Source organism: Homo sapiens, chromosome 20, assembly GCF_000001405.40.
Source record: "Homo sapiens chromosome 20, GRCh38.p14 Primary Assembly".
NCBI classification, from domain to species: domain Eukaryota; kingdom Metazoa; phylum Chordata; class Mammalia; order Primates; family Hominidae; genus Homo; species Homo sapiens.
In genome coordinates, this window is record NC_000020.11 from 7,881,827 (window position 1) to 7,902,619 (window position 20,793).

Sequence of the window (20,793 nt, forward strand, 5' to 3'; positions counted from 1 at the left end):
AGGTGCTTACTATATACTTATTCATTGATCAATATTAATTGGAAAAGCATAAAACAATTATATGATATGATAGAAATATTTACTCTGCGTATTTTGAGAAAAAGTTAAGGGATAACTTTTCTTTTTCATAAAGTTAAGTGATTATTTTTTACCAGACTGGTATATAATTTCAGAAAAAAGTTTTTTGTGTGTTCATGCTAATATTTAGGAATCTCCTAGCATTTAGAAGGAGAAAGGGAGAGAGAAAGAGTTCTGGGAATAATAAAGCATAATAATAATAAAACATAATATAATAATCATATTTTCAGGTAGTGATTCTCTGAATTGTTTCATTAAGTACCTCACAGTGGTTGAACAACCAGAGAGATGACGAAAAATCAACTTCAAAATTACTTTGGCTACCTAGTTCACCTCCAATTTGTAAAATGCTTGGTTTGGGAATGAATATAAAAGTCACGTGATCAGGGCTTCATGGGCATGCTCCTCATGCAGTGGACAGGGCTCCATGCTCAGAAAGGGGACTTGGGCTTAGGGTTTGATGCTCTGTGGTTATTGGCTTGAAATACTTAATAATGTTATCATTGAATTTGTTTTATAAGTGATGCACGATGCAACAATGGAACTTGTGCCGGGGACACTGAGAGCCTAGCATCATACATTGTTCCATCTCCTGCCACCTCCCCATGTCTGCTAAGTGAGTTCTTGGTTGCTGGCTCAGGCATTCTGCTTAGTATTTTTGCCCTGCACCCCCAGCAGGGTTCTGGGCATGGGCACAGGTAAGATCAAGGCAAGTTGTAAGGCAATACCCCAGGCACCTGGAAGGCTCTACGCTTGCCATGTGGGTATCCCCATGCCCAAGGAAGCATGACATGAAACAGCAAGTCTCCATGACAGCTTAAGAGAAAAACTGTGGAAGGAAGGAAAAGGGTTTTGTCTTGCTTTTTGAACAAGGGGCCCATATTTTAATTTGGCATAGTCCTCACACATTATGTAGCTACCCTTGCACATGGTTATCAATGGTAAAGAATCAAAAGAGTAAAGAAAGAGAAGTAGGAGGTATAGGATAACCAATAAGGTATGCAGAAAGGAAACGAGGAGGTAATTAAGGTTCAGAAAATAAAATTAAAATTTCATATTGTTACAAAAGGACTAGATATATTCTTCCCAAAAATGCTTTATTTCTCTCTAAGAAGTAACATACATCCTAAAACATTTGGATATATTCAGACACTAAAGATGTGATTGGAAATCTACATTCAAAGAAGTATCACCAATTACCGCCACCCATTCCAATTCTCTCCAGTGCTACCTTCTCAAAGTTGTGAATCAGGCATTACCAACACTTTGAACCTGAGCTTACAATTTAAGAACCACTGTTTTAAAGACATGTAAACAGAATACAGGTTAATAAACAATGAGATCATTATCTTTTCACCTTAGTGTTTGCTACCTCCAATTTTACTAAAGGATACAGCACTTTAGCCTGCCAGGGGATGACGTTGTCTAAACACATTTTCAATGTTTTCTTTTTAACAGTTAATATATTTCCAGGATGAAAGTCCATTTCTTTCTAAAAGGTTCCTAGGACACCCATTGAAAAGTCAAAAGCAATGAAATAAAAGGGATTGCTATTTTGTTGGAAAAGAACGACACCCTTTGTATTGAAGTGGGGAATTACAGACTGTGGTCACCCTCTGCACAGTGTCTCTTTGTCAAGTAATACATGCTGAAAAAAAATAATACAGATGGGAAAATATTGTGCACTGTCAGATCTTGGAAACGGCCAAAGGATTTTTCCTCACCAATGTCTTGTCGATGACTTTCACATTCTGGCACCCTGAAAAAATAATGCATACATTTAATATGAACTGAATGCAATAATAATCAGGCAGGTAATCGTTTTCCCAAGGAATGTAAAATTTGACAAATGTAAGGTTTATGATTCAAGGTAGGCTTGCCAAATCTTATGTGGCATGAGACCATTTTTTATTACCTAAACAGTCCTTAACACAAAATGACTGGCACATATTTTTATTAACACAAAGAGTATATTCTTTCTGCCACATTTAATAGAGAGTCAGTGACTGAAAGCTCTCTTTTAGGATATGTCTGTAGCAAATTAAAATGCATAGTGAGGATTCACAGAATGGCATTCTTCTTGTTGAGGCTCTGTCTGCAGACTGAGTACAGTAGTGAGTAGACCATTTATCTGGGGAGTTTTATCTATGGGAACAATCCAGATGATATGGATTACAGAAAAGGAAGCCCTCTTTACCTTCAAAAATGCGGTAGCTGATAATCAACTCACAGCCATTCTTTCTAGCTACAGGTTCTTTCTGAGTCAAATTAGAAATAGTCACTAGTAGTATTTTAATGTGTATTTATTTATTTATTCTTTCAGCAAATATGTATTGTTTGTGTGCCAGGCACTGCTGTAGACACTGAAAATACTGCAATCAAGACAACAAAGCCCCCTGCCTCATGTATCTTATGTTCTAAAGGGGAAACAGACAATATATAATGCATATAATTTTAAAAGGAAATTCTATGATAGCTGATATATAGGAGACAATAGGTACTATGGAAAAAGGATGAAAGAAAACTGGAAAAGAAAACTGGAGTCGAATAGATGGGTGGAGGATAAACTGCTATTTTAAACACAGTAATCAGGATAGGCACCTTTAAGAAAGTACAATTTATGTGAACACATGAAAGATGAGAAGTTTTTCATGTAGCTGTCTGGAGGAAGAGCATCCAGGCAGAGCGAACAACCATTGCAAATACCCCAAGGCTGAAACATATCTCACATAGTCAAGGGACATCATGGAGGCAAAATGTCACATGGGCAGAATAAGTAAGGGTGACATTGGTAGAAGTTGGGATCAGAAAGATGACGGGAGTCAAACCATATGAGGCCTTGTAAACCACTATAAAGACTCTGGCATTTACTCTGAGTAAACCAAAAGCCACTGGGGGTTTTCTGATCAGAAAAGTAACATGATCTCAATGAATGTTTAAAAGAACCGTTCTGGCCGCCATGATCAGAACAGACTGGGAGAGGGGAGATAGGTGAGAATAGACGTGCCCACCCACAATGTCCATGGGATGAGAGACAATGATGGCTCCAGCCAGGGCGGTGGCAGTGGAGATGACAGGGAGGTCAGATTCTGATTATATTTTGAAGATCGAGCCCCTATGAGTAAGAAGGTGTGAGAGAAAAGAAGAGTCAAGAATGACTGAAGATTTTTGTACTGAGCAACTGAAACTATGGGATTAACATGAACTGATGGAGAAACTGCAGGTGGAGCAGGTTTAACGTGGAAAGTTAGCAGCTTAGTTTTGGACAGGTAAGAGTTTGGGATGCCACTTAGATGTCCAAAGGGAGCTGTTGACTATCCAGGTAGATGTATGTGTTCATGTGTTATGAGATGAGGAAGAATATGATGTTACAACCACCTCCAAGTACTCGTACTCACCAAAATATTCCTAATAAAGCTGTGAAAAACAGAGGTTAAGTAATTACTAGAGACTGCACATGCAGAGTTCCTCAAAGCTGTAAATATGGAGTCAACGTCAAATTTAATGTACTCAAATGATCCCACACTCTTCCCTTTCAAATTCACTTCTCTCCACCAAGGACCTTGACTTAAAGATCATAAAAGAAAAGAAAGTTGTAAACAAGAATGAGTCTTACCACTCAGAGCCATGGCCAACCGGAATTCTTCCTTTAGTATCTCGAGGACATCTTGAACACCTTTCTCCCCCTAACCAAGTGAAAAGATACAGAGTGATTCAGAACTAAATCAGTCTGACTTGTTTTATTCATTTGTTTTACTGTCAAGTTGTCTATTTTATATATTCATTTCTTTGTCCAGTTACCTGGAAAGCTAAGCCCCAAACGATTGGTCTCCCCACAAACACAGCCTTGGCGCCAAGAGCCAGAGCTTTCAGAACATCAGTGCCTTTCCGCACACCCCCGTCCAGGAAGACTTCCACCTTCCCTTCCACAGCCTCCACAATTTCTGGCAGAACATCAATCTGGGGAAAGAAAAGTTCAATAATGTGACTCTATTAACACTGAATTGTTATTCAACTCCACCTCCAAAAACCACTGACACATCCAGCTAGGGCTTAGAGTGAAAGAAGCCAAGTAGGTTTGGGGTAAATGGTAAAATTATTTCCTTCTCAAAGAAGAGAGGTACAAATGCTAGTAACTAAAACACCAACTAAATTTGGAAATGAGCAGCTTATTTTTCTTTTAAAGTGCAAGGTTGTCTTTTTTTCTGTTTCTTATATTCAAAGATTGTCATCAAAAAATTATAAACATAAAACACTTGATCTTTCATAACTTTTTTGTTTTTTTTTGAGAGAGGGTCTTGCTCTGTCCCCCAGGCTGGAGTGCAGTTTTGTGATCTCGGCTCACTGCAACCTCCATCTCCAGAGTTCAAGTGATTCTCCTGCCTCAGTCTCCCAAGTAGCTAGGATTACAGGTGCCCACCACCATGCCTAGCTAATTTTTGTATTTTTAGTAGAGACGGGGTTTCATCATGTTGGCCAGACTGGTCTCGAACTCCTGACCTCAAGTGATCTGCCTGCCTCAGCCTCCCAAAGTGCTGAGATTATAAAATGTATAAAAGTAAATTAAGTATTTTATTGACATAAATTATTCTGAACATTACTCATTGCAAGTCAATTGTTAAAATTCATACTCAGATAATAGTGCAAGCAGTGTGTAAAATGCAAACACAACTAATAATAAAACAACTTAGTCTCTTATTTTCTCATCCAAAATATTTTGCATCCAACCATATATTAAAGAACACTCTGTGAAAACATTTTTCTTGTTTTTAAGGAATATGACCACTTGCAACATAAAGATCTTGGTCTTGATTGGCAGTTGGTGATGATGGACATAGGTTGGCATCAAAGTGCACTTGCCTGCACCTTAGCCTTGGAAACTTTGGCTGATAACATGTGAGCAGAGCTGGTAGAATGCCATTTCTGAGCATAGGCCTTAAGCAACCTCATGTATTCCCACTTACTTTTTTGCACCTTGTCATTTGCCATGAGAAGACCATCCACCAGGTATTGTTTCCCCCTCATCTTTGGCCCCAGGATAAATATTCAGGAAGCAGAGCTAGCACAGCCAAGCCCAGCTGGAGCTGACAATTGGATACCAGCCACCTAGCTAGTACCAAGCCTAGATCAGTAGACACTGGTCAATACAAACTTTCATGGAAATCATTTATTTCAATGATTTAAATCACTGAGTTTGGGATTGTTCATTTTATAATGTCATATGGCAGTAGCTAACTAATACAATTGGCTACTTTGATGTGAATCTGCATTTGAGAATTAAAACAATTTACAAGGTGAGCTAGAGGTCAAAATCTGTAGAAATCACCCACATTCATCCCAAAATGTAAAAATCTAAATTAAGTACAATTCCTATTTAAAATGTATGCTGAGGAAGCTGCCATACACTCAAGTCCACCTTTTCCAGAAATAATTGTGCTGAAATCACTCAGAGGTTATCCCACTTCTACCCTAAAATTTTAGAGGGTTTTATGTATGAGGCTGAAGACTAAACAGGGCTACAGATTGGAAGGAAGTGAAGGTAACACTTGGCATGTGGTCCCTAAATGTTTGGCAGGTAAGGCGATTTTCCTCTTTCCCTTTTAGCTTTTCTGCCTTGCCAAACATGCTTTGGATCTATTTACATATGTCCCTTTTCCTATACATAGCCCTCTTTTTGCATTCAGGCAAGTTACATCAACATATAAATGCTATAATTTCCAAGCCATGATGCAAGCTATAATTAAGCATATTTCCCCATTTGAAACCAGAACCAAAAAAAAATACTATCTAGCTTGGGTTCAATACACATTTTCAAAGTCAGTCAAATCAAGTGTGTTTAGGTAATTTCCAATGCCAACCCTGGCCTAAAAGTAAACTAATAAAGGTACTTAAAAATGTGAATCCTGAGTTAAAAAACAGAGCCCAGATTTGTGTTTCGTGTGTCTGTGAACAACAATGTTCCATCTATTGCTAGGTGTTTCAATCCTCCCTTTTTTCTTTCAATAGCTGCAGTTTTACTAGGTGTATATTACACAAAATAATTCTGATCAAACAGATTAGATAAATAAATACAGTAGACAGACTCACTATGTTATGTCCCTGTTTATGTTTCCCTCTTTTCAGCTTTCTATACATCTGTGAGACCATTCATTTTAGCTATTTCCTTAGTGCTTCTTCGGGCAAGTAATTGTGGGTTTAACTCCACTGGAGTTAATCTCCAGGAAAATATGGTAAGATCCCTGTATACTGTTGCTCATTCATCCCTCTATTCACTGTTTTATCAAACACTTTATAAAGGACCTGGTATATTTAAGGCACTAATGTCAGGCAGAGTAAGGGATGTAGAAAGAAACCCACAGGGATCTGACTCGCAAAGAGAATCCTCTTTCTCATTTGTGTTCAAGTCACACTCTTCCAGAATGCTCCCTGCACAACTTGCTCCCCCAACCCCTCCCCCAAACACAACTTCTGCTAGCAAGGAGCTCTCACCTTTCCATCTTCCTATTGCATCGGTTGTTATACTCTTGATTTTTGACATTTTAGGTATGGAAACCTTTGTTCAAATCAAAATAGTTTAAAATAAACAAAAGTAGATGGAACCAGAGGTGCTTAGTTAAACGCAAAAGAGACAGAGTCCAAGTCACTGCCCATAAATCCTCCCTTGACTGTCTACCCACCCTACCCATCACACTTCACCACGCAGCCCTAAGGGGCTTTTCCTAAGCACACTTAGAAAATCACTGGTTCATATACATTTTGCTGATTGTTTGCAACTGCAAAAATGGCTGCAATGATCTCCTCTTTATCTTCATTTCCTTGCAACATTATGGGAGAAAGGGAAAGGAAGGAGGGTTCTGTTCTGCCACCTTAGATATGAATTGAACTTATGATTTGCTTTCATCAGTGGAATTGAGAGAAGTGACAGGATGCCCATTCTAAGCCTAGATCTCAGGAGGCCTTGCATGCTTCCACTCACTCTCTAGGAGACCTGCCACTTCATGAGAATGCTGGAAGATGTGAGACAATGCAGAGCCATCCCTGCTGAGCTCATCCTATGACAGCCTCCTAGTAGGCCTAGTAGCTGGCCACAGACACATGTGAATGAGTCCAGCCAAGACCAGAAAAACACTGAGCAGATCTCAGCCCAAATTGCCAACCCACAAAATTGTAAAATGTAATAATGACGATTGTGGTTTAGCCAGTAAGTTTCAGAGTGGTTTGTTACACAGCAAAAGCCATCTGATACATTAAATGTTTCTCAAAGATGGAATTGCATGGACTCTTTTTATAGAAGAAAATTTAAATCCCTTTAGCACTTCACAGAACATCCCCAAGAACTTAACAACCCAAATGCTTATTCTATAAAAATGTTTTGCCATTGATAATTTTCACTGTGAAAGAAAGTCATTATTTCTAAGCTTGAGGTAGTTTGTGTCCAGATAGCATCAAAATGAAAATGAAAAATTGAAAAAAAATGCTCATAGGATTCAAATACTCCAGAGAATCTTAATTTGAGAAGATCTAGTGCTATGTATTTTAGAAACCAATTTGATTCCATCCTATTATTCTCTAATTACTTCAAATCCAATCTGGATCACATTATAACCATGAGGTGATAAGCGTATTTTTAACACAATCTTATTTTTTAGTTTTTCTGGGGTGTAGCAGAGGCTGGCAACTCTTCTCAGAAGCAACATATTAAGATGAACTGAAGTTAAATTATTGTTCTAGGACTCCTAGTGACAGTAAGTATTTCTCCACATAAGCAAACTCTGTGATTTATATTAGCCTGGTGCAAAAGTAATTGCAGTCTTTGCCATTAAAAGTAATGGTGAAATTACTTGTGCACCAACCTAATAGAAGTGTATAATTCATATTGTTGTCCACTTTCTTTTTGTAAGCAACACAATACTGTGAAGATGTTTGGGCTTAAAAGTCTCATTGGCTTACTCACCTAGCCCTTATCCCCTGAGAAAGGTGAGACAAGACTCCCATTTCGGTGCTCTTCCCATGACATCATGCTGCCTCCATGGCTCTGACTTATGACATAACAAAATCTGCAGTATAGCAAGTTCTTCTGTGCAAGTACTGAGACCTGGACACCACAGCCTCCCCCAAGACCTTTACCGCTCACAGAAAAACCCACACACTGAGGGAACTTTGTACTTTGCGGTACACCAAATGCTTTCTCACATTTCTCTCATCATCATGAGCCTTAAATTTGCTCTAAAGTGTGAGGCAAAACTCAAGCAAGTATCTCCCCTCATGTATACGACATGCAAAGAGGAGGGTTATGGTTTGTTTTTTTTTGTTTTGTTTTGTTTTTGAGACAGAGTCTTGCTCTTGTTGCCCAGGCTGGAGTACAATGGCACAATCTTGGCTCACTGCAACCTCCATCTCCCGGGTTCAAGTGATTCTCCTGCCTCGGCCTCCCAAGTACCTAGGATTACAGATGCCAACCACCATGCCCGGCTAATTTTTGTGTATTTAGTAGAAGCAGTGTTTCACCATGTTGACCAGACTGGTCTCGAACTCCTGACCTCAGGTGATCTGCCCGTCTTGGCCTCCCAAAGTGCTGGGATTATAGGCATGAGCCACTGTACCCAGCTGGTTATTGTCTTTTGTTTGTTTTTTAATTTTAAATTTTTATTTTATTTTCCATAAGTTATTGGGGTACAGGTGGTATTTGGTTATATGAGTAAGTTCTTAAGTAGTAATTTTTGAGATTTTGGTGCACCCATCACCTAAGCAGTATACACTGCACCATATTTGTTGTCTTTTATCCCTTGCCACCCCCTATTCTTTCCCCCAAGTCCCCAATGTCCATTGTATCATTCTTATGCCTTTGCAACCTCATAGCTTAGCTCCCACATATCAGTGAGAACATACGATGTTTGGTTTTCCATTCCTGAGTTACTTCACTTAGAATAATAGTGTTCAATCTCATCCAGGTCACTGCAAATGCTGTTAATTCATTCCTTTTTATGGCTGAGTAATATTCCATCATATATATGTACCACGGTTTCTTTGTCCACTCATTGATTGATGGGCTTTTGGGTTGGTTCCACGACTTTGTAATCGTGAACTGTGCTTCTATAAATATGTGTGTGCAAGTATCTTTTTCGAATAATGACTTATTTTCCTCTGGGTAGATAGCCAGTAGTGGGACTGCTGGATCAAATGGTAGTTCTACTTTCAGTTCTTTAAGGAATCTCCACACTGTTTTCCATAGTGGCTGTACTAGTTTACATTCCTACCTGCAGTGTAGAAATGTTCCCTGATCACTGCATCCACACCATCTACTGTTTTTTGATTCTTGGATTATGGCCATTCTTTCAGGAGTAAGGTGGTATCACATTGTGGTTTTGATTTGCATTTCCCTGATCATTAGTGATGTTGAGCATTTTTTCATATGTTTGTTGGCCATTTGTATATCTTCTTTTGAGAATTGTCTATTCATGTCTTTAGTACACTTTTTGATCAGATTGTTTGTTTTTTTTCTTATTTGTATGAGTTCGTTGTAGATTCTGGATATTTGTTTTTCATCAGATGTATAGATTGTGAAGATTTTCTCCCATTCCATGGATTGTCTATTTACTCTGCTGACTTCATTTTGCTGTGCAAAAAGCTCTTTAGTTTAATTAACTCCCAGCTATTTCTCTTTGTTTCTATTGCATTTGCTTTTGGATTCTTGGTCATGAAATCATTCCCTAAACCAATGTCTAAAAGGGTTTTTTCAATGTTATCTTACAGAATTTTTATAGCTTCAAGTCTTAGGTTCGGTTATTGTTTTTTAAAAAACGGTCTCAGGGAACAAACTCAAAAGCCCTTCTAGACGTGTCCATATTCTCTCAGCGAGAGGGAAATAAGCAACACCATTTGGCTATTTTTCCCTTAAAATCTAGTTAGATTTGATTTCAGTAGATTTATATTTAATTTTTAGAAAACAATTTGGCCCGCCCACTAAGTCTACATCTCCATACACAAGTGAGTCATGAATCTGAGAAAAAGCTTTGTGCTGTGACCAACCTCTCCACCCTACTCAGAGGAGGTCTTCACTTTCCACGTCTGTTTACCTGCAACCAACATTTAATATCACCTAGAACAGTGTGTCTCTGGGAGCAAAACTGAGTTGCAAAGAGCTGACAACTTCCAGTTTTCATTACTTTTCATCTTTTGTTTGTTTGTTTTGTTTTTTGAGACAGAGTCTCACTCTGTTGCCCAGACTTGAGTGCAGGGGCATGGATCTCGGCTCACTGCAACCTCCAACCCCCTGGTTCAAGCAATTCTCCTGCCTCAGCCTCCCAAGTAGCTGGGATTACAGGAGTGCACCACCATGCCCAGCTAATTTTTGCATTTTTAGTAGAGACGGGGTTTCACACATCGGCCAGGCTGCTCTCGAAATCCTGGCCTCAAGTGATCCACTTGCCTTGGCCTCTGAAAGTGCTGGGATTACAGGCGTGAGCCACCACTTGACTGTATAATCCTACAATATACAAAGACTTACTTGGTTCCTACCATTAGTGCTTTAGGAAAAACTCAACGCAATATGCACACCCAATATTCCCTGCCATCATTTACTCCGCCATCACAGCCACACAATTGGTCTATGAATGTCACTAAATCAACCTGCTAGTTCAGTGAAACAACAGACCACTACTAGTTGGCTAAAGTATTTGTTCTACTCTTTTTCCAGTTGTGTGGATAAATTCAAATGGTCATCCCAATTCCAACCATCTATATAATAACTACCACTGAAGGGTTCCGATAAAAGGGAAAATATTTATATAAGAATCCAGTTCTGAGAGAGGTGGTGGTCTGGAAAGTTCACCCACATTACTTAGTAGATAGATAGATAGGTAGATAGATAGTAAATATATATATATGACAAATATATATATTACTTAGTAAATATGCATAGATATATAAAGTTTTGTTATATGATGCTAGTTACTTTGCCTGTGTAAATCACATTATGAAATATTACAGTTGAAAGGTTTAAATTTTAAAAGATGAAGAAACCAAGATAGGGAGCAGAAAGCAATTCCCTCTGTCCTTCTGCAGTTCAGGCCCTCCTTCTCTCTTTTCTTGGCTATGGTAATTTTAAAGACTACCTCATTGGCCTTTCTGCCTCTTGTCATGACAAAATCCACTTTATGAGACTCATTGCTGCTAAGCCAAGGCTCTTCTATTGCACACCCAATGACTCATAATAGTCAAGGATCTCCTTCCTTATCTATCCAGGCAGATGCATTTCCCAAAACTCTCCCACTCCCACTGAAACCGCCTTTGCAAAAATTATAACTGAGAAAAATATGTCAGTGAAAGAGATCTCGCCTAACTGACTCCATCTTGATTCTAACGGCCAAGCTTTCCTTGTTCATTGCTGAGTGTAGGCCAGACTAACTTTGGGAGAAACTTAGTTCATACTTCAATTTTGAAACAAAGATGATAACAGCTCTTTACCAAAGCAAAACCCCATTCCTGCCTGGGGACTAGGCTGCCTTTGCAGGACTAACAAATTAGTCACAAGATTAGAAATTATGGTTTAGGAGTCATGCAGCTGTAGGCTACAAGATTCTGAACCTCCCCAAATTGCTCCTGGGGATAACGTCACCATTGTAAAACCGAAAAGCAATGCTTGAGATGTTTTGCAGACCCTGTACCTGGATCAGTTGGCACCACTGTCTGATAAACTGGTTCATCTGGTATTGTGGCCTTCAACCAGGAACTGACTCAGAGCAAGAGGACAATTCGACTCTCTATGATTTTTATCTCCCACCTGACCAATCAGCACTCGCCACTTTCCAACCCCTTCCCCACCAAATTATCCTTAAAAACCCTAAAACCCAGTTTTTCAGAGAGACTGATTTTAGTAATAATAAAACTCCAATCTCCCAGTACAGCTGGCTCTGCGTGAATTAAACTCTTCCTCTATTGCAATTCCCCGTCTTGATAAATTGGCTCTGTCTATACAGTGGACAAGGAGAAACGGTTGGGCAGTTACAGCATCAGACACTGCAAACAAGATGGATTATTTAGTATTCCCTGAGCACATCTCACTCTTTCCCATTTTACTCTTAGGCTTATCACACTGCAAAGAGGGTCCACATGGGGCCAGAGCAGAAGCAAAAAATATCTGCAACATCATTGCTCCATCTACAAGAGGCTTGGCCAAATCCCCACAAGTGGACAGCACATAAGGGAACCACTTGATAGCACCCCACCAACGGCCCCCGGCCCCCATTCTGGATCATGGATCCATAAAATCCACCCCAGGAAATGTGTCCCTCTCCATGGCTTCGGATCCATTTCTGGACCCCCAGTCTCTGATCTTAAAATCTGCCCTAAGTGCCTCTGTCGGTTTTCTTGGCTTTAGGATCTTCAGGGTCTAATTGCTCTTCGATACAGTTGTATTCAGTCCCACACCTTTCAGGACAGTTTAGTTCACTTTTACATCTAGATTTTGGACTCTGATTTGCCTACTCCAGTGCATAAAAACCAAAGATGCACATTGGAATCTCCTGATAGCTTTAAAAAAATACTAGTGCCTATACACCCCTAAGCCCCAACCAGAGATTCTGATAAATAGACCTGGGGAGCAGATCAGGATTCTTTAAAGTTCCCCAGATGATTCCAATGTGCAGCCAAGGTGGTTCACAACTCAGCCAGAGTAGCCTATTTGCAGCTCACTTCCCGTTGCCCGGACCTAAGCCTTTTTTCTCCTTTTCCCAACTCTCCACCATTTCTCTGCAGCTTTTCAACCGCCACCCCACAGGAAATTCTGATTATGTCCCTCCTCCTGATTTCTTGTCTCAATTGTACTGATGATCTCAGATTCTACCACAGCCTTTGAAATCCCACAATTCTCTGTTAGCTCATGTCCTTGGACATTCATGGCATAATCCTTTCTTTCATACTCCAGTTTACATACCTATTGGTGTATCTATGAATGCCAGAATAATCCTTGCCCACAAATGACTTATTATTTAACAGAGACTTTCATAGGTTACAAATAAATGCACTGGGCTAATTAAACATAAATAAATTTTTAACTTGGGTAGTTATGTGCCACTAAACTTAAAATCCAAGATCTCACATATTTGCACGTATTTCACCTTGAGTGATTACACAAAGTACACACAGAGAGGAGGAAGACATAGAGATAGTAACACAGTGATGGAAATGGGAACTCCAAAAGGAAATCTTAGCGTCTGCCAAAACTCACAGTGGCTGGCACCCCATCGAGTTGTCGAGCCCCATGATTCGACACCAAGATCCCATTCAAGCCATGTTTAACAGCCTCCCTGGCATCATCACCTGGAGAGAGTAAAACAAGCACCTTAGGGAAACTGTAACTTAACAGGCAGCTTGGGTTTAGAGGCCTCCACATTCCAGTCAAATGGAGGCTGACTCCCATCTGCATACCTGGGTCAATAATCTTAGCATAAAAGTATACCCTAGGGTTAGCGCTAGAATATTAGTGGTAGTTTTCTTGGCCAAAAACAACAAAAAAATGTTACTACTTACGGCAATTTAATTGTAAAATATACAAAAGTATCAATAGATAATACATTGACATAAAGCGTGTTTATCTTTATAAGGGTATACTCTTGCTAAATATTTTCAATTAATAAGATTATACCATTTTATCATTTAGCAAAATTATTCCTCAACAATTTGGATAGCCAAAAAAAAAAAAAACATAAAAATGTCAAGCACTGTAAATGTAACAGGCAGTGGACAAACCTATTTCAAAAAACAATCTTTAATAACAAGTTGTAATAGCTTTAGTAACTATTTTAAGTAATATTGTTCTATAATTAAATATATGTTTGCTCATTGAAATGTATAAAAAATTGGCCAGGTGCAGTGGCTCATGCCTGTAATCACAGCACTTTGGGAGGCCAAGGCGGGCAGATCACGAGGTCAGGAGTTCAAGACTAGCCTGACCAACATGGTGAAACCCCATCTCTACTAAAAATACAAAAAAACAAAAACAAAAACAAAATTAACCAGGCCTCAGGCCTATTGGCAGGTGCCTGTAGTCCCAGCTACTCAGGAGGCTGAGGCAGGAGAATCGTTTGAACCTGGGAGGCAGAAGTTGCAGTGAGCCAAGATTGCACCACTGCACTCCAGCCTGGGTGACAGAGTGAAACTCCGTCTCAAAAAAAAAAAAATTAAAATTCTATGCTACATCTCTAATCATGTTTTAAAATATATTAATTTCTGAAAGTTCAGTTTAAAAATAGATTACTGTTCTCTTAAATCTACTTGCAACATTTAAAAACATATTTTATATTCTAAACTATTATTTTTAGCATGTCCTAATAACAAACCATTTGCTAAAAGAATCATGAAAACAACACTGGTTCTCAGGTTTAACATTCAAAATGCAATACTAAGCAAAACCAACTGGTTCAAGAGCGTAGCAAAAATCAGGCCTTGGAAATTTAAGCAAATGGGTATAGGTCATTGGTAATCTGTAAAATTAAGCAATGGAGATAATGGGCAGACTTGACTAAGAATAATTTTAAAAGACAAGATAATTATTTTATAAATTATATGCTATCATTTTCCAAACTTTGTTTTATACAAGGCTATTTTTCAACTATTCTTATTTTTTTCAAATGATGATAGTGATATTTTTCTCCTAAAATTATAGGTATAGGAAACTGTTAAACCTATATGCTATAGACTAAATATTTATATCCTCTCAAAATTTGTATTTTGAAGCTCTGATCCCCAATGTGATGGCATTTGGAGATGGGGTCTTTGGGAGGTGATTAGGATTAGATTAGATTTCTAACTGCCTTTCTTTTCTTTTCTTTTTTCCATTTACTGTGAAACTTCAGAATATTATCCAGTTCTTCAAACTTTTCAATTATTTGATCTAACCTATTAGGTCACCTTATTCCCCACCTGAAGATAACCCCTGGAGCCCTCTGCCTTCCTGTTCCATTCTGTTGTGGCTACTCACAAGACATAATGTCTGCCTTCAGCTTTGAGTTTGCTCTTCTTCTGTCTGAGTTGAATATCTTGTAGTCTGAGTATGCCCTCATTTGGTTTATATTCTCATTTGTTTGTAGTAGATTCCTTTGTTACTTTCTTAAAAAGGATCCAAGGGAGGTAAACTTACAGACCACCTAAATAGCTTCTCTTGTGTGTGAATGACAATTGGATTGGGTATAATAATCTAAGTGGAAAAACCATTTTCCTCAGAACCTTAAAGACATCAGTCCATTGTCTTCTAGTACCCATTGCTGATGCAAGGACTGACACCAGTTTGATTTGAATTATTTTATAAGTAAACAGTTTTATGTTTATTTTATCTCTTTATACACATTACTTTTCTGAAATTTCATAAGGAACGTGATAAGTTGTGATTTGTTTTCTCACTCTAATGACTTACATTATCAGCATTCGGAAATTGTTGGTCTTTAATAATTTCCTCCAGGCCTCTTTCTTTTACTTTTCTACCTGAAACTCCTATCAGTTGGATATTGGACATTTTAAAGTTGTCTTCATGTACATTCATGTAATAATTTTTTCTTTCTATTTATCTTATTGTTCTCATTGTTGTTTTACCCTTTGGGAAATGTTATTGACTTTACTGCTCAGCCATTCAGTCATTTCAGCAATCATGTTTTTAATCTTTGAGAGCTCTTTTTTATATTCGACTTCCCCTTTTTTAAAAAAATCAGAAGTCATTTTTCTAATCATTGGGAACTCTTCTTTATGCTCTAATTTTCTTTTCATGGCAGACTCTTCCTATTTATATGTATATTTTCAACTTTTTTGAGTATCATTTGGATTTTTTAAAATTCTTTTTCTTGTTTTATCTCTTTTTCCTGGGATAAGCTTTTCTATAGATTCATCTTGATTTGTTATGTTTTGGTGTTTCTGATATGCCTAGTGATGCTAAATTTTCCATTTATATTTAAGGAAGAAAGATTGAGGAACTGCCCTGTTTTGTAAATTAGTTTCATTCTTGCCAAGTCCTTGTCTGGAGTGGAAATTCTTTCTTGGAACTCCATGTAAGAAAATGCAGGAAATGTCAACTAAGAGGCAATTAGACTGTGAGCTCCTCAAGTGTCAGAATCAGGACAGCATCATGTCATATTGGAAATGCCACCCACCCATATTTCATCCCAGCCATTCATTAATGTCTTTAGAAAGGATCAGCTACTTTCTTATTGAGAAGTCAGTGCCAAGTGTCCACTGTTGCATAAGAAGTAGGGTGGGAGCAGGATTGCTGGCAGGCATAACAGCTTCCTATATTGATCTTCAGTCAGTCCCCTTGCGTTTCGTCTTCACTACCCTCTCTGCCATCCTTGCAGACTATATACCTACAGCCTCTCAAGCATTCTATTACATAATCTACCCCTACCTCCTCTAGGATTTCCTGAAAGCCTATCTCAAGGTACAGTTTTCTGTATGTTTTCCTGCTGTCAACAGGCTTTCAAAAGTTTCTTAAAATTTCTCTGCTGTTTCTGTCCTCTATCCTCCTTTGCTTTGCTGTCATTGGTGTATACATATTTGCATTTCTGTACTTTAATTTCAGTGGAGTCTTGACTTTAACAAGAGAATTCATATGTACTCAGTCCATCATTTTAAACCAGAAGCCCAGTACACTTTCATCTCAAACGTATTTCATAAATGGTTCTCTAAAGATAGGGCCTCAATGGACTACCATAGAACTTTCTGTGATAATAAAAATGTTCTAGATCTGTGCACTTCCATCATACAGTACCACTAGTCATGTAGCCACTGACCAACTGATATGTGGCAGTGTGACTAAGAAACTGGAATTTTGCCTCTATTTCATTTTAATTAACTTATATAGCTGTCATATTGCACAGCTCACCTTCAATGTTTCCATGAGCTTACCTGTCCTAATAGACATAGCATGGTATTTATTTTAAAAACCTAGGTGTAGTCATAAATAACCTTATTAAACAGTATAAAATAATATTCTGAATTGGTGTGGTTTGCCTGGTTATCTAGTTATGTACAGGATCCTGAACTTCAAGTCAAATGTAAAAAAAAAAAAACAAAAAACCACTTAAACATAGACAATGGTATTTTTTCAAACCTCGTAATTGAGCATACGTATAGCTCTCCAGTTTATATTCCTGTGTCTGCCACCATGTAGCTACAACCTGCATTATGAGAAATTAAATATTATCAATAAACAGATCCTGTACAGGAGGAAGAAGTGATTCACTGCTTAAGGTAAGTCATCAGTCCACCCGGACTTAAATCCCACATCTGCTGCTCGCTTGCTGTGTAAGTGGCAAGTTTCTTAACTTCTCGGTGCATCATTGTCCTAAGCCATAAAATGAGGATAGAGATCCACATATGATTAGCTTGTGGATTAAATGAGTTGAATGTGTGTTTAGAAAGTGCCTGATACATGTTGAACACTCAGATAAATATTAACTATTATTACCATTTTCCTCTGATGGTGCAGGGAATATAAACTAAAAAGATGAGTAGGTGGAGAAAGATTTATTTGCAGGATGCGTTTGGCAACTCTATTTGGGTTCTGTTTATAACAGTTTTATCCTAGTCAAGATTACTATGATAAAGTGCCTCCCATTTGAATTAAATGTTTCTTAAGTAACAGTCTGTTATCTGCCATCATTTCAAGTGGTTTTTATATTCTTCAGGTAGTATTGGGAATATAGGGAGAAATGACATAATGATTTGCTCAGAGGATAGGATTGTGAATTTCTAGAGAAGCAAAGACAATAAGGATAATTTATAACCAGATATAAGCCCCTTTTATTAGCTGCTTATGCAGCCTCGTCCACAGTTTTACAATTTATTTTAACACAGAGAGAAAAGCAATTTTGCCTTAATGAAAGGGCCAAAATATTCCCACTTAGCAAAATGTTCATGAATCTTGGATATTTTTATTAATTCTTAGAGTTTAAGAGTGTGGCATTCCATATTTGTGAATTTGCCATTAAGTACATTGATTGATAGACACAGTCGTCAATGGGCAGTGGCATTGTTTGCTATCTTATTAATATTTTATTTCCATATTTAATTTAAAACAAGGTATAAAAGTGAAAAATAAGTACTCAAGTACTCAAAACGTAAGTACTCAAGATTTGAGCTCAAGCCCTTGGAGCTTTTGGCCTAGGAATCTGTTCTGACTCAGAGGAGAGTAGTAACTAAATCCCGGACACATGACAGCAATTTTAAAACACAATCCAGGAACATTAAGCGCATATTTTTTTAGAGTATCTTGAACAATGTATACAGGCATACCTTGTTTTATTGCACTTTGCTTTATAGCAATTTGCAGCTACTGAGTTTTTTAGAAATTGGAAATCACCACCTTGATCTGTTAGCAGCCATCAACATCTAGGAAAGACCCTCCACCAGCAAGAAGACTACAACTCGCTGAAGACTCAGATAATCATTAGCATTTTTTAGCAGCAAGGTATTTTTAATTAAGGTATGTACAATGCTCAAGTGGCATTGTGGCAACCCCGCATCAAGCAAGTGTATCAGCACTATTTTTCTAACAGCACGTGCTCAATTGGTATCCCTGTGTCACAGTTTGGTCATTCTCACTCTATTTCAAACTTTTTCATTGTTACATCTGTTACGGTGATCTGTGATTAGTGATCTTTGATGTTACTATTGTAATTGTTTTGGGGTGCCATGAACCATCGCCTTTAAAATGAGGAACTTAATAAGTGTGTGTATTCTGACTGCTCCACTCACTGGCCATTCGCCCATCTCTCTCCCTCTCCTCAGGCCTCCCTATTCCCTGAGAAGCAACAATATTGAAATCAGACCAACTAATAACTCTACAATGGCTTCTAAGCGCTCAAGGAAGAGTCACATACCTCTCACTTTAAATTAAAAACCAGAAATTATTAAGCTTAGTGAGGAAGGCATGTGAAAGGCCAAGACAGGACAAAAGCTAGGCTCCTTGTGCCAAACAGCTAAGTTGTGAATGCAAACAAAAAGTTCTTAAAGGAAATTAAAGCTACTACTCTAGTGAACACAGAAATGATAAGAGAGCAAAGCAGCCTTATTGCTGATAGGGAGAAAGTTTGAGTGGTCTGGATAGATGATCAAACCAGCCACCATTCTCCCTTAAACCAAAGCCTAATCTAGAGCAACACCCTAACTCTCTTCAATTCTATAAAGGCTGAGAGAGGTGAGGAAGCTGCAGAAAAAAAGTTTGAAGTTAGCAGAGGTTGATTCCTGAGGTTTAAAGGAAGGAGCCATCTCTATAACATAAAAGTGCAAGATGAAGCAGCTGAGGGCTGATGGAAAAGCTGCAGCAAGTTATCCAGGAGATCTAGCTAAGAAAATTGATGGAGGTGGCTACACTGAACAACATATTTTCAATGTAGATTAAACAGGCTGTATGGCATCTTCTTCCAAACAAGCCTTCCTCATACTGGAAGAAGATGCCATCTAGGACTTTCATAGCTAGAGAGGAGAAGTCTATTCATGGCTGCAAATATAACCCTAGGAATTATACCAAATCTACTCTGCCTGTGCTCTATAAATAAAACAACAGTCCGAATGGCAGCACATCTGTTTACAACACGGTTTACTAAATATGTTAAGCCCACTGTCGAGACCTGCTGCTCAGAAAAAAAAAGATTTCTTTCAAAATATCACTGCTCATTGACAGTGCACCTAGTGACTCAAGAGCTCTGGTGGAAGAACACAAAAAGATTAATGTTTTTATGCCTGTTAACACAACCTCCACTCCATAGCCCATGGATCAAGGAGTAATTTTGACTTTCAAGTCTTATTAGTTAAGAAATATATTTAATAACATTATAGCTGCTATAGTTAATGATTTCTCTGATGAATAAGAGCAAAATAAATTGAAAACTTTCTGGAAAGGATTCACCATCTAGATGCCATTAAGAACATTTGTGATTTACAGGAGGAGGTCAAAATATCAGCATTAACAGGAATTTGGAAGATGTTGATTCCAACCCTCATGGATGACTTTGAGGAGTTGAAGACTATGGTGGAGAAAGTCACTGCTGCTGTGGCAGAAACAGTAAGATAACCGAATTAGATGTGGAGCCTGAAGCTGTGACTAAATTGCTGCAATCATGAGATAAAACTTAAATGAATGAAGAGTTTCTTCTTATGATGAGCAAAGAAAGTGGTTTCTTGGGATGGAATCAACTCCTGGTGAAGATGCTGTGAACATTGCTGAAATAACAACAAAGGATTTAGAATATTACACAAACTTCACAGATAAAGCAGTGGCAGTTTGAGAGGACTGACTCCAATGTTGAAAAAGTTGTACTGTGGGTAAAATGCTATCAAATAGCTTCTCATGGTACAGAGAAATCTTTCCTGAAAGGAAAAGTTAATCGATGCATCAAACTTCATTGTCTTATTTTAAGAAGTTACCACAGCCACCTTAAACCTTCAGCAACCACTACCCTGATCAGTCAGCAACCATCAACACCTAGGAAAGACCCTCCACCAGCAAAAAGACTACAACTCGCTGAAGACTCAGGTGATCATTAGCATTTTTTAGGAGTAACGTATTTTTTAATTAAGGTATATACATTGTTTTTTAGGCATAATGCTGTTGCACAAAATAGACTACAGTATAGCAAAAACATAACTTTCATATGCACTGGGAAGACAAAAAAATTATGTGACTTGCTTTATTGTGGTGGTCCAGAACTGAATCCACAATGTCTCTTA

At 38.2% G+C, this 20,793-nt stretch overlaps 1 protein-coding gene across 1 annotated transcript in view; it reads right to left on the reverse strand.

The window, feature by feature from the left end:
• The window catches only part of HAO1 (hydroxyacid oxidase 1), a 57,474-nt gene continuing 37,839 nt past the window's right edge, over positions 1,159-20,793 (reverse strand). The window contains exons 5-8 of the mRNA NM_017545.3: positions 13,307-13,398; positions 3,880-4,038; positions 3,695-3,764; positions 1,159-1,837 (exon numbers count right to left, since the gene is read on the reverse strand). Coding sequence (NP_060015.1) covers positions 1,767-1,837; positions 3,695-3,764; positions 3,880-4,038; positions 13,307-13,398 — 392 coding nt within the window. The 3' untranslated portion in view covers positions 1,159-1,766. The remainder of the gene's footprint in view (positions 1,838-3,694; positions 3,765-3,879; positions 4,039-13,306; positions 13,399-20,793) is intronic.